At 35.6% G+C, this 15,421-nt stretch overlaps 1 protein-coding gene across 5 annotated transcripts in view; it reads right to left on the bottom strand.

Moving 5' to 3' along the window:
* Positions 1 to 890: 890 nt before the first annotated feature.
* KIF20B (kinesin family member 20B) overlaps positions 891 to 15,421 on the bottom strand; it is a 73,345-nt gene continuing 58,814 nt past the window's right edge. For all 5 annotated transcript variants that reach the window (NR_168374.1, NR_168375.1, NM_001284259.2 and 2 more), the window contains 6 exons: positions 15,189 to 15,299; positions 12,990 to 13,187; positions 7,434 to 7,535; positions 6,937 to 7,087; positions 2,994 to 3,136; positions 891 to 1,854 (listed from right to left, as the gene is read on the bottom strand). Coding sequence is in view for 3 of the 5 variants with exons in the window: in NM_001284259.2 (NP_001271188.1) it covers positions 1,777 to 1,854; positions 2,994 to 3,136; positions 6,937 to 7,087; positions 7,434 to 7,535; positions 12,990 to 13,187; positions 15,189 to 15,299 (783 nt within the window). In the remaining 2 variants the exon portion in view is untranslated. The remainder of the gene's footprint in view (positions 1,855 to 2,993; positions 3,137 to 6,936; positions 7,088 to 7,433; positions 7,536 to 12,989; positions 13,188 to 15,188; positions 15,300 to 15,421) is intronic.

Genomic DNA, 15,421 nt, shown 5'->3' with positions numbered 1-15,421 from the left:
CAAATCAAAATGGATTAAGATGTAGATCTAAGACCTCAGGCTATGAAACTACTATAAGAAATCATTGAGGAAAATCTCCAGAACATTGGCCTAGGCAAAGACTTCTACTAGAGCAATACCCCACAAGCACAGGCAACCAAAGCAAAAATGGACAAATGGGATCACCTCAAGTTTAAAGCTTTTGCACAGCAAAGAACACAAACAACAAAGTGAAGAAACAACTCACAGAATGAGAGAAAACATTTGCAAACTATCCTTCTAACAAGGGATTAATAACCAGAATATGTAAAGCGTTCAAACAGCTCTATAGGAAAACATCTAATAAACTGACTAAAAAAAAAACATGGGCAAAAGATTTAAATAGACATTTCTCAAAAGAAGACATAAAAATGGCAAATAGGCATGTGAAAAGGTGATCAACATCACAGATCATCAGAGGAACACAAATCAAAACTACAATGAGATATCATCTCACCCCAGTTAAAATGGCTTATATCCAAAAGATAGGCAATAACAAATGCTGATGAGGATATAGAGAAAAGGGAACACTTGTACACTGTTGGTAGGAATGTAAATTAGTACAAACACTATGAAAAACAGTTTGGAGCTTCCTCAAAAAACTACCATATGGTCCAGCAATCCCACTGCTGGGTATGTACCCAAAAGAAAGGAAATAGAAGAGATATCTGCACACCTATGTTTGTTACAGCACTGTTTACCATAGCTAAGATTTGGAAGCAAGTTAAGTGTCCATCAACAGATGACTAGATAAAAAAATGTGGGACATAAACATTCAGCTGTAAAAAAAGAATGAAATCCTGTCATTTGCAACAACATGGATGGAACTGGATATTACTATGTTAATAAGCCAGGCACAGAAAGACAAAGACTGCATGTTCTCATTTATTTATGGGATCTAAAAATAAAATCAATTGACCTCATGGGCATACAGAGTAGAAGAATGGTTACCAGTGGCTGGTAAGGGTACTGACGGTTGCAGGGGGAGGTGGGGATGGTTAATGGGTACAAAAACAAATAAGATAAAAAGAATGATCTACTATCTGATAGCACAATAGAGTGACTATAATCAATAATAACTTACTTGTATATTTTTAAATGATCTAAAGAATGTAATTGGATTATCTGTAATTCAAAGGAAAAATGCTTGAGGGGATGGATACCTCATTCTCCATGATACACGTATTTCACATTGCATGCCTGTGTCAAAACATCTCACATACCCCGTAAATATATACATGTACTATGTACCCACAAAATGTTTACAAAATAAGTGAGACATTCTAATTAAAGACTTGAGATCTTTTCTAAATAATGTATATACATGTTTTGTGATCTGTACACACTTATTCTCCAAATCCTAGCTATAATCCAAACAGATATGTAAAATCAGTTGTATAACAGATAAAGTAAAAAAAATTCATAAGACATTGTTAAATATAAGTAAACCAAATACCTGACCTATTACATCCTGTATAGCAAAATAAATGAGAATAACAGCCTCTTTCCTAGGATCTTCACTGATCCAATGTCTGAGATAATAGGGAAATACAGTTTGAAAGAAGCTATTATAAAAAAGCCTTATAAAAATATACAAATTTTGACTCATTTATTGAATTAAAATTATACTATGTATAAAACAGCAATCTATATGCAGAGTGATTTAATGCATAATATATACATTTATATTTACAATACAGGATGCAAGTTCCAATGACTATGACTATAAAATTTATATTAAACATTTCCATAAGTGATTTATTTGGCTGTTTTTGTTCGAAGTCGTCGTTTGATAATCTGGTGATCACTCTCCTTCATTTTCTGGTCCATTAAAATCTGAAATTAAAAATTTCATAGTTTTTCAAAGCTTGTAAGTGAAAATAAAAATAAAAGCTTGTTTATAATGAGTAAGACATGTTCATGTGCTTAGTAACTGAAATGATACATTGGAGAATTTTTTTTACTTAGACTACAGATATGCCATCTTCTATAAAAATTTATTTAAAAAACAGACTTTGTAAAAGATTCAACACTATCAAATTCTAGAAGTAAAATAACCTAGACTCCATATTGAATTCAAGGCAGATATAACTTAAAATAATTACTAAAATATTTGGAGACAAGTGCCTCAAATAATTTTTAAGAAATGATCTTTCGTGGCAACAAATGTATAACTTAGAAAGTAGAAAGCACATTATATAGTAACTAAGAAAACAATTTTCAGCCAAGGGAAGAAATCAGGTACTAATCAAACAGATGCTCAAAAATGACTGACAGAATGGTACTTACAACACCATGCCCTAATTTACCCTAACTCTTTACATCTTGCATTCAAGTGTCAATCTCATATCTGAAAGCTCTTGTGGCAAAAAAGGTTTCTCCTGATTTTTCTTGGCCACTTCTTTTTAATTTTTTTAATTTCTTTTAATTATTTTTTTACCTTCACTTTCATCCACTAAGCAAATGCAAGCATGACAGAAAATTTGAGCTTTCCCTGTGACAGCACATACTGTTCTGAATCAGGAGAATGAATCATAGACTCAGGGTGATAACTACAGTCTCTTCCTAATAGATCCTCAAAGGCTTAGGGGAAAGGTGGGAGGAAATGGCTGAATGTCAGTTTTATATTTTTACCAGGAACACTTGGGCCCAGATTTGTACAACTCCCGTGATTTAAAAAAGAGAAAGAAAAAGAAAAAAAGATTGTGGAGGCAAATAAGTTACTAAATAGTGACAATTCTATTATTGGAAATAAATTCCTCTGATGCATTTTCAAATGCAAATGCATGACGCTTATATACATTTAATACAGTATTTATATTTAATTAGTATAAACTTAACACATGTGAGACTAAAAGCATGACCTTTATAGCATGTGTTTTCAGAGATCTAAAGAATTGAAATTCAAACCACTGTAAAAAATTAAAAAGAACACGAACAGTTCTACATTGATGAAAACAGAAATACTAGCTTACCACTTGGCCTGATATATCAATAGGAGATGAAATTTCACTTGTGTATAATTTCCGTTTGGCTCGTTTTGGTTGAGACACATTTTCTTTACTTGCTTCTACATTTGAGAGCTTTGAAGAGCTCATTGTTTCAATTATCTTCTTTGCTATAAAATAAAATTGTTAATTAGTTCCTGAAATAATTTTCTAATTGCAAAGGTGATTTGAAATCCTTAATAAAGATGGTTTGAAATCCTTAATAAAGAATGAACATACACAAACTAAAAACACTGCAATATATATATGGTGAAAGGGCATGAATAGACAAATCACAAAGAAAAAAAGTAAATGTCAAGAGAACATGAAATAATGATCGACAGCAAAAAAAAAGCAAATAAAGTATCATTTGATTAATGTTCAATGTAGTAAAAAACCTCAGGCATCTTTAATGACTTGGAAAATGTTTATGCTATGTTAAGCAAAAGAGCAGGATATATACATAGTGGATCATGCAGCATTAAAAATAAGGTGGTAGATGATCTAGTTCAATGCTCATGCATAAAGTTATGCACAATGAATGCTGCATGAAAATACTTTGTAAACCCTTTACTTCAAGTCCACACACAAATGGAGAGAAACCAAACTGTTAACAGCTGATTGCTTTTAGGGAAGTAGAATAGGAATTTTTAAATTCCTTACTATGTACATAGTACATAGTACTTTTTTTTAATAGAAAACATATTTCCATGTGGGAAAATTCCTGGATAGAAATTCACACACATGTGATATCAAATATTTTTTTTTAAATAGAAAAAACATTTAAGGCATTAGACTAAATTGAGAAGACTACTTGTTAAGGGCTGAGCTGGGCTTGAGAGAGCTGAGAGTCCAGGTATCGGAGAAGCCAGTTAAGACAACAAGCCAAAATGAAAGTAACAACCCAGCTTTTTAACCACTTATTTCAACAGTATATGCGAGAGACTAAACCTGAGAAAGCACCAGCTCCTACCCACCCTCTTCTATAGTCCACCACAGAATAATACAGATCAGCATAGAAGTGGTGGTCATTTTACCACCCAGGCAGCCCCAAACAAAAGGCTCTCGCAGTTTTATAGACCTCAGGGCTGGAGGTTGGAGGGAGCTATACGTGGAAAAGTACCGAGTTACAGTGGAGAAAAGCGTCTTCAAGGTTCCCCCTCCTGTTCCCCTCCATAAGAAGGCCTCCACCAAAGGCCTCAATAAAGAGGCTCTGAATGGAGGCACTCAGGCTAAATATGCAAATATGAGTAAGAGCATGACTAGCTTGGGGGATGCTGGATCCTTGACTATAACTCCCTTAAGAGATTATAATGCATTGGCTATGCATCAAGTCTGGTGTAGGAAGGGAAGCTTGTCAGGTAAGTCTTTGTAATTGCCTATGGTACAGCCTAAAAAAAATAGAAATGTTTAAAAATCATACATATGTTGGCCTAGAGCCAAACTCATCACTACTATGTGCTAGCCACTATACTAAGAGCTGACAGTATGAACTAGACAGACATTTTGTCCGTGCAGATTATATTCTAGTGTAAAAGATAATAAGAAAGCAAAGAATTACAGTTTAAAAAGTGCTAAGACAAAAAATAGGATTGAATAATAAAGATTAAGTGATGCTGGGGATGAGGGGTAGTGACAGGGTGATGAAGGAAGGTGTCTCCCTAATAACGTTCCATCAGCTATGAGGGCTCAAGGGTAAGGGGCCAGCTAAGACAAAAGCCAGGGTGTGTTCCAGATAAAAGAAAGCACAGGAAAAAGCAAAAGAAATCAATGATATGAAGGTAAGAAAGAAGCTGGCAAATTCTAGGAACTGTCAGAAGTTAGCAGGATTGAAGCTGGCTAGTTATCAAACCGTAGAATAATAAGAGATAGATTGGAGAGAGTCAGAAATCAGGTCATTCAGAAGAATGAGAAATCATTAAAGGATCAGAGGAGTAACATAATTCAATCTGCACTTTGAAAAGAACATTCTGTCATGTATGAATGGATGGGAGATGACAAGAGGGGCAAGCTGGGAGACCAGTGATACTAAGTGATGGATTAACAGTGGTTATCAGAGCAGCAGAATTTTAAAAATTAATCTCCATTTTTTCTTTTCTCTCTATATTTCCAAGTGACCCAAAACAACAAATATGTATTACAGTTACAGTTCAAAATAGGGATATCTTATATTTCTAGAAATAAGTAAAAACAAAAAGAAAAAAGGAAAAAAAAAATGTATGTCAAGTGCATTGGTAGGGAAGCTGTTAAGGAACCAAGTCAATGAAGTAAGAGAATCATTACCCTTATCTGATTACATACTTATTATAGGTACCTACCTCTCCTTGAAAATATATTTCTTTTTAATATAAAAGTGGTAGTAAGCCTAAAGGACTCTAAAGAAAGATGTCCCTCCTCTCCAAATTTAGATATTTAACAGTTTGCTGTTTGTCCCTCCAGATATTTTCTGTTTATACAAACACATTTTTTAAATGTACATATTTTTTTAAATGTATGTAAATATACAAATGGGTCTGATAGGTCAGAAGTTCCCAAACTGTGTACTAAGGCATGCTGCAGCAAACTTACAGAAGCACCTCAGGATATTTTCAATCTTCAGGGAAAATAGTGATGCTCAATAGCCCAAGGTAGTTCAATTTCAAAACGATACTGAATTACATTTCTTTTCATTATGACATTATCTTTGCAATCTGGATTTTCAGAAGCTGAATTTTCAGTGGTTGTTTGGTCTTAAGTTCTAATGCATGAGACTACTAGTGGTTCTTTGGGTGCAGAGGCAAAATGGAAATTAATTACTGAGACATTAAGGGCACTGTGAACCAACAAAGTTTGGAAACGTCTGTGGTAAGCCTTCGACAAAAAGTATTTTCACACAACATATTTGATTCAATTTAACTGCCCCCTGCTTCTAGTTCCTTTCCTTCCCTATACCCCTCACTCTGGTCTCTAATTCATCCTATTGCTGTCATTCAGGTAACCTCACAAAAACCCACTACTCCATCTCACCCCTAAGATAGTCCTTCCACATTCTACATGCCAGATGTGTATTGCTGCCTGTAATTGCATGAACATTTCCTACATTTTTCTGATACTCCACCTGTGTTAAAACCATTCCTTCCGCATATGTGCACACATGTGTATATATCTTAACATATACACAGGTATCAATATGTCCACATTATATTATCAAGAAAAAAAGCACTAAGCATACTGTTTCTGCAGCTAAACTCAATAGGTATTTATGAAAATAATGTGTTTTTGACATATTGTACATAAACAGATAATGTTTACATATGCACAGAAAAAAAAACACTAGGAGGATATATACCATAATACTAATACTGGCAAACTTGTCCAACCCACCTTATTTTGTTGTTGTTTTTGTTCTGTTTTGTTTTGTTTTGTTTTGTTTTAGGCTTTTAGCGGCCTGAAGCCATGGTTTTTAGTTTCTGTCTCTAGTGATAAGCAGAAAACAGGGATGAGGAAGGGGATTTCCTGCCCCAACCAAAAACAGAAACTAAGAACCCATGACTGTATTCTCACCCTTGGACACCCTAGAGAGTGTACTCCTGCCCACATTTCAATACACAGGATAAATCCCATCTCTCCCATAAAAACCTTCCCAAAGCCCCCTAATCAGAGTAGCTCTTTTCCCTCCAATACTATCATACCTTTGCTTATACCCCTATTACTATATTAAGTAGCCTGCTCTGGATCAGTTACTTAAATACAAGCCTTTCTCTTCTACTACATAGCGAACACCTAGATCTATCATCCTTTTACATGTTTCTTCCCACAGTACCTAGTATAGGACAATGCCTATTTGAAGTATAATATTCCCTGAACAGCTGTTGAGTTTATATATCAATTAGGTATTAAAATATACCCAACATCTAACAAAAAAAGGTCATTTAATTAATTTTCTGCAAACCTTTTGATTGAAGAATTGAGGGAGAATGTTGTAAGAAGTCTCCAAATTTCTGTAGTGTTCCTTCTTTTTTCTTAGTGGCCAGGTTTACACCAATTATGGATGCCTGACTCCGTAAAGAATATGTTTTCTTAGATGATGGACGTATGGCAACCTAATAAACAAAACATTTTTTGTTATTGTTGATGAGAAGTGTTAGAAGGAAATAGTTATGGCCACAGCTGAATTAAAGAGGCCAGAGACAGGTTATGAATTCTCAGGTAGGAAACTTTAAGTATGTAAGGACAGGGATAAAAGGGTCAGACAATGGCAAAAAGAGTTTGACAGGCAGAGTGTTAAAGTCAGAAGTAAACACATAAAGTAGATGCTACTGGCCAAATGCTAAAGGTTACATTTCAACTGAATCAGATGTATAGGAAAGAGAAGATAAATGAGTTATAATTGAACACAACTGGATTTCTGGATAATTGCTACAATTTTGGACAAATTAAAAGACACACCTTTTGTTCCTTTTTGACAGAAGAATTTCTATCATCTGAAATAGGAAATTTCAAATTAGTTCTGGGTGTAGCATTCTTCTTATTTTCACATTTCACCAAGTCCTAAAAATAATGAATTTTAGCACCAGTTAATTTCTTGACAATATTTTATTTCTCTAGACTCAAAAAAGAAAATTTGTAAAAAGCTACATTATCACTTAAAACAGTGACTCTTAACCGAGGGCAATTTTGAACTCAGAGGACAATGGCAATGTTTGAAGATATTTTTGGTTGTCTTTGCCAGGGAGAAGGGGATATTATTGGCCACGAGTGGGTAGAGGTCAGGAATGCTGTTAAACATCCCTACAATGCACAGGATAGATAGCCCTTAAAACAAAGAGGTATACAGCCCACAATGTCAACTGTGCTGGAGTTGAGAAACCCTGACTGAAGGTGTGAATTTTTCAAACATATCACAAGTAATGAAATTACATAAGCTAAATGAAAAACATGGAAGGAATATCTTTTATTTGAAACTGAGCTTTAAAATACAGCATACAATATACCTACCTATTGCCTAACTCCCAAATAATACAAGCATCTATGTCTAAGTTCTCTCATTGACATTTGACAATATCAAAAATAAAATAAAAACGAAACTTCAAATAACCAAAGGTAAAATGTTAAAACTTTTAAAATATTATCTTTCTTCTCTACAACATGGGTATGGCATCTTACTCTTCTTTTCCCCAAATAACCTCACATAGGACAAAGCCCTTTACAGATATACTCACTGACTTGAACTGCTGCAAATCCTAGTTGTACCAAAGATAAAAGTTCAGGAAAAAGGGGGCAAGAAGAGAAGCAGAGAAAAGATCATGACTGAACCTCAGAATCCAAATTACAAAGCAGAAGTTATAAGGGTCATAAGAAGCAGACACCATGACAGGGAAAAGACAGATGGTAATCATAGGATGCCAGTGAAAAGAGACCATGAGGCTACCTCCACACATAGTGGTCAGTAAGGAGCTCTTTGGAGTCTTCACTGGATTAGAATATAGCCTGTCGGGGGGTGGGGGGCTAGGGGAGGGATAGCATTAGGAGAAATACCTAATGTAGGTGACAGACTGATGGGTGCAGCAAACCACCATAGCATGTGTATACCTATGTAACAAAACTGCACATTCTGCACACATACCACAGAACTTAGTAATTAAAAAAAAAAAAAAGAGTATGTGGAAGAAAAAAAGAAAATAGGATTGCATAAATGATTTTCATGGGGGCCCATGTACTTAGTTTATTATAGCAGTGAAGATTGAGTAAAATCAGTTAGAAAATTTAAAGTTTCTACATGATGTATCTACAACAATCTGTAAATCTTTTCTGAAATATACATGAGGGATATATGCCAATAGTAAAATTAATAAAATATTTATATTTTAACCTTCTTGAGAACTACACTCGGTGTTTCCTTCTTCGTTGAAAAAAAATGGATCAAGAAAAAGCCAACTAGATGATGAAACTCAGTGTTTTAATGTTATTTTAAAAAATTAAATAAATATAAAACAAAAGTTAACTAGTAAGACTCCATAAAACAATCTCTAAAGGTGTTACATGTGTAGCAGAAAAACTATGCTGAATAATATTCACTCAGCAAAATTATTACCTGACAGAGAGCCTCAGGAGTATAGTTAATACTATTTCTGCTCTTACATCAGCTTGAAAATATACTACTCTTCAAAGAAGTAAAAGAAAGTTGAAGAAAAATTATTTTGCTAGAGAGTTTGTAATTAGTTTTAAGCTTAAAACAAGTTACTTTAAAAATAAGTATTACTGATACCCTTTCTCCCAGTTGACTGCATCGGCTCCTGAGGCTTCTGCATTCTTCACGTAGTTCTTGAGCCTTGGCTTTCAGCTCCATCAGATCCTTTAAGCACTTCTCTGTATTGGTTTTTCTAGTTATACATTAGTCTAAATTTTTTTCAAAGTTTTCAACTTCTTTGCCTTTGGTTTGAATTTCCTCCTGTAGCTCGGAGTAGTTTGATCGTCTGAAGCCTTCTTCTCTCAATTTGTCAAAGTCATTCTCCTTCCAGCTTTGTTCCATTGCTGGTGAGGAACTGCATTCCTTTGGAGGAGGAGAGGCGCTCTGCTTTTTAGATGAAATGAATGAAATGAAGCGAGAAGGGAAGTTTAGAGAAAAAAGAATAAAAAGAAACAAACAAAGCCTCTGAGAAATATGGGACTATGTGAAAAGACCAAATCTATGTCTGATTGGTGTACCTGAAAGTGACGGGGAGAATGGAACCAAGTTGGAAAACATTCTGCAGGATATTATCCAGGAGAACTTCCTCAATCTAGCAAGGCAGGCCAACATTCAGATTCAGGAAATACAGAGAACGCCACAAAGATACTCCTCGAGAAGAGCAACTCCAAGACACATAATTGTCAGATTCAGCAAAGTCAAAATGAAGGAAAAAATGTTAAGGGGAGCCAAAGAGAAAGGTCGGGTTACCCACAAAGGGAAGCCCATCAGACTAACAGCGGATCTCTCGGCAGAAACTCTACAAGCCAGAAGAGAGTGGGGGCCAATATTCAACATTCTTAAAGAAAAGAATTTTCAACCCAAAATTTCATATCCAGCCAAACTAAGCTTCATAAGTGAAGGAGAAATAAAATACTTAACAGACGTTATTTCTGAGGGCTGTGTTCTGTTCCATTGATCTATATCTCTGTTTTGGTACCAGTACCATGCTGTTTTGGTTACTGTAGCCTTGTAGTATAGTTAAGTCAGGTAGCGTGATGCCTCCAGCTTTGTTCTTTTGGCTTAGGATTGACTTGGCGATGCGGGCTCTTTTTTGGTTCCATATGAACTTTAAAGTAGTTTTTTCCAATTCTGTGAAGAAAGTCATTGGTAGCTTGATGGGGATGGCATTGAATCTATAAATTAGCTTGGGCAGTATGGCCATTTTCACGATATTGATTCTTCCTACACATGAGCATGGAATGTTCTTCCATTTGTTTGTATCCACTTTTATTTCATTGAGCAGTGGTTTGTAGTTCTTCTTGAAGAGGTCCTTCAAGTCCCTTGTAAGTTGGATTCCTAGGTATTTTATTCTCTTTGAAGCAATTGCGAATGGGAGTTCACTCATGATTTGGCTGTTTGTCTGTTATTGGTGTATAAGAATGCTTGTGAAATAACGCCGCATATCTACAACTATCTGATCTTTGACAAACCTGAGAAAAGCAATGGGGAAAGGATTCCCTATTTAATAAATGGTGCTGGGAAAACTGGCTAGCCATATGTAGAAAGCTGAAACTGGATCCCTTCCTTACACCTTATACAAAAATCAATTCAAGATGGATTAAAGACTTAAACGTTAGACCTAAAACCATAAAAACCCTAGAAGAAAACCTGGGCATTACCATTCAGGACATAGGCATGGGCAAGGACTTCATGTCTAAAACACCAAAAGCAATGGCAACAAAAGCCAAAATTGACAAATGGGATCTAATTAAACTAAAGAGCTTCTGCACAGCAAAAGAAACTACCATCAGAGTGAATAGGTGACCTACAAAATGGGAGAAAATTTTCGCAACCTACTCATCTGACAAAGGGCTAATATCCAGAATCTACAATGAACTCAAACAAATTTACAAGAAAAAAACAAACAACCCCATCAAAAAGTGGGCGAAGGACATGAACAGACACTTCTCAAAAGAAGACATTTATGCAGCCAAAAAACACATGAAAAAATGCTCATCATCACTGGCCATCAGAGAAATGCAAATCAAAACCACAGTGAGATACCATCTCACACCAGTTAGAATGGCCATCATTAAAAAGTCAGGGAACAACAGGTGCTGGAGAGGATGTGGAGAAATAGGAACACTTTTACACTGTTGGTGGGACTGTAAACTAGTTCAACCATCGTGGAAGTCAGTGTGGCGATTCCCAGGGATCTAGAACTAGAAATACCATTTGACTCAGCTATCCCATTACTGGGTATATACCCAAAGGACTGTAAATCATGCTGCTATAAAGACACATGCACACATATGTTTATTGTGGCACTATTCACAATAGCAAAGACTTGGAACCAATCCAAATGTCCAACAATGATAGACTGGATTAAGAAAATGTGGCACATATACACCATGGAATACCATGCAGCCATAAAAAATGATGAGTTCATGTCCTTTGTAGGGACATGGATGAAATTGGAAATCATCATTCTCAGTAAACTATCACAAGGACAAAAAACCAAACACCGCATGTTCTCACTCATAGGTGGGAATTGAACAATGGGAACACATGGACACAGGAAGGGGAACATCACACTCTGGGGACTGTTGTGGGGTGGGGGGAGGGGGGAGGGATGGCATTAGGAGATATACCTAATGCTAAATGACAAGTTGATGGGTGCAGCACACCAGCATGGCACATATATACATATGTAACTAAACTGCACATTGTGCACATGTACCCTAAAACTTAAAGTATAATAATAAATAAATAAATAAATAAAAATATATAAATAAATAATACTATTAATAAATATTAATAGTAACTATTAATAAATAGTAATAATAGTTATATTAATAAATGTAACTGCCACTTGCAGAGCAAAAGCGAAGCATTTTCAACACATTAATCCATTGTTCCAAAAAGGAGAAAACAGGATCAGAAACCTCATCTGACTTGCCAAATCTCCACATCTAGGACATGGTAGGTTTGGCAACCCTTCAATCAAGAAACTGCAGTAAGAAGAGGTTAATAGCTTTTAGCCTACCACTACATAGAGGCCCAAATTTTAACACTGGCTGATGAAAAAAGAATTTCTCTTTTAAAACTTGCTAGGACCATACAGACAAGATTTTAGTTAAATGACAAAGATTATACACAAGCAAGTTAGCTATTTCAGTTTCTCTGATTTCTACATAACCCTCTTTTCTCTTCCAATACAGGGAAAGTGACTAAGTATGAACAGGACTGGTATACTGAAATGGCTCTCCAGTAAAATCCACCATCATTTGATGTATTATAGTTTAACTGAAGCAAGGACGCTATATCTTTTAATATACATAGCTTTTTATCTGAAGACCATTAAACCACAGTAATATTCTTTATTTTTCTGAGACAGTCTCGCTCTATCACCCAGGCTGGAGTGCAGTGGTGCCATCTCATCTCATTGCAACCTCCACTTCCTGGGTTCAAGTTGTTCTCCTGCCTCAGCCTCCTGAGTAGCTGAGATTAGAGGTGTGCACCACCACTCCTGGCTAATTTTTGTATTTTTAGTAGAGACGGGTTTTACCATGTTGACCAGGTTGGTCTTGAATTCGTGACCTCAAGTGATCCGCCAGCCCCAGCCTCCCAAAGTGCTGGGATTACAGGCATGAGTCACCACGCCTGGCCCACAGTGATATCCTTAAAGGGTATAAAATATAGCATAAATTGTGATTTTGGTCTCTAACAGCAGTGCCTATGAACAGGAGGGCAATATAGCAGTTTAACTCTATACTATAACAGCTTTATAATAAGATTTGTTCATTAAATTTACTCATCACTTAAGTATTTACCTCCTCCATTTCATTACTCTTCCTCTTCCGAGCCTTGGGAATCTTAACTGTCACTGGTGTGGTACAACCAGGGTGTTTCACTGCCATTTTGTTTGGCTGTAAAGGTGTAAATTGAATCTCTAACTCAGGTTTTGGAAATCGAGTGCTTTGATCATTTTCTGTTGACACTTCACAAGAGTCAAGGACTACAGATCCATCCTACAACAGAATGTAAAAGGAAAAATATTATTTGTAGAGTATACATTTATAAACCACAAAGAATTAATTCTCTCAAATGCCTATCCAAGACAATGCATTGGGAAAGACAAAAAGCGTGCTAGATCACAGCAAGAACAGAAAGATTGAGCAATCATCTACTTTCTTCAGGCTCACACATGGTATGTTAAAATTAGGGGTAACATCGCTATTTCCCAAACTTGTATGATCATAAGAATTACTTACAGAATTTGTTTAAAAGACTCCTGGACTCTACCACAAACCCAGTAAATCAGAAATCTCCAAGGGAGGAGGCTGAGATCTTTGACAAACAGCCTGGTTATATTAAAGAAGTAGGCTGCAAATACTTTGCTACTCTTCCCATTGAGAGATGGAGTCTCTCATTCCCCTCTATTTGAATTTGGGCCTTATAGCCAATAGGATGTGGTAGAAATAACATTATGGTCCTCTAAGGCTCAATCATAAGAAGCATTACAACTTCTGTCCTGTCCTCTTAGAACACTTTCAGGACACTCACCCTCAAAATGCCCCATCTCAGACCAGCTACCATGCCATGAGAGGTCCAATCCACAGGGAGAGACCACAAATTAAGTCCAGTGGAATTCCCAGAATCAACTACCAGTTAACTGAATTAATCATTTTGGACTTTCAGCCCAGTTAAGTATATCGATTACATGAAGGCAAGAACATACAAAATAGCCTAACAATATGATTCCCCAAATTGTGGAATATAAAATAACTGCTGGAATTAGAAAATTGGAACCAGGAGGTTTTAGGACAACATACATAAATTTATGGAGAAAGAAATGTTCCATTATATGTGTTTGTCCATGCAATCAAGAATTAAGCCTTGTTTATGGATAAACTTCAAACTTTTCTGTGAAATTTATGATTTGTATTAGTCCCCAAGGTTAGTGCTAATTATTTGAAACTACTAAGAACTGTCAAGGAAAAACCAAGAGAAAATGAATGGCTCATGTTATTTTCCCAGATTAAAATGTCCTTCTCAGTTGGCCATGGTGGCACATGCCTGTAGTCCCAGCTACTCAGGAGGCTGAGGCAGGAGGACTGCTTGAGCCTGGGAGTTCAAGTTCAGCTGCCAGAGAAACATAGTGAAACCCCATTTCTTTTTTTTTTTTTTAAGACTTTTCCTTCTCATTGTCTGCTTAATAAGCTTCCATTCATAAGATACAATATGGTATCACCTTCTTTAATCCATTTCCACAAACACTCAGGCAAAATTCATTTCATCTTCCTCAGTGTTCCTTGGAGTACTCACTTTATATTTCTACTATAACACTTAGCCCATGAAGTAAAATCAAACAAGTCATTCACTTATGTATCTACCTTACTAGATTCTTCACTCCTTGAGGATGACAATCATGTCTTATTGATGTTCGTATCCTCAGTGCTTAAAAAGGTTCCCAACTCTGAATGCTCCCAATAAATGTGTTTTAAAAAGAAATTTAAAAAGTAATTTTATCTTCAAAAATTTTAAGTAACATAGAATTTTTATCTATTTCATATCCAACCTAAGAATCTCTATATTATCCAAAGTTATTCACAGAACCCTAAGCCCAATACAAATTAAGGAAACTCACGAGTTGTTATTGAAGACTGGTGACAAAGCTACTAAATGGATACAATTCCAAAAAATACTATTTAACACAATGTTTATTAAAGCAACCTTTTATGAGAGCAAATTATCCCTATTTTCTCATTAGTAGGATTTCCTATTTCTGACCATCAAGTTTGTTTCTATTAACAAATCTACTGCTTTTAAGATGAGATTAACATCATTTGGGCATATAATCTCCCAAAAGAATTTCACCTCTCCTCAAAAGCCTCTAGTTTCTTTCACACAGCCCAGAGCACACACAGCTAATTGTGCAGTAAGGTATCTTCAGCAACTTACTTGTACGTGTTATTTAGTAATAGTGGATAAAGAGAATAAATAAGTGGACTGTGCTGCCAAATACCCACCTCTATTTTATTTCTGGAAATTTCAAAACTTGTCGATAGAGGTTCAGTTTGAAGTTTGTCAGGATCTGCTGAACTAATACGTTTGGGCTTGATATCCATGATTTGTGTTTCCTAAAGTAAGGAAATATTAAAGCAACAGGGCATTGTAACCTGAAAATATATTGAAGAAAACTTCACATAAAGAATATAAAATCAAGATTTGTATGAAACTAAACAATGGAAATTACTAAGTA

This window comes from Homo sapiens, chromosome 10 (assembly GCF_000001405.40).
Source record: "Homo sapiens chromosome 10, GRCh38.p14 Primary Assembly".
Lineage (NCBI taxonomy): Eukaryota > Metazoa > Chordata > Mammalia > Primates > Hominidae > Homo > Homo sapiens.
The sequence above is the reverse complement of the archived record's forward strand: the minus strand, read 5'-3'. Positions and strand labels throughout refer to the sequence as shown.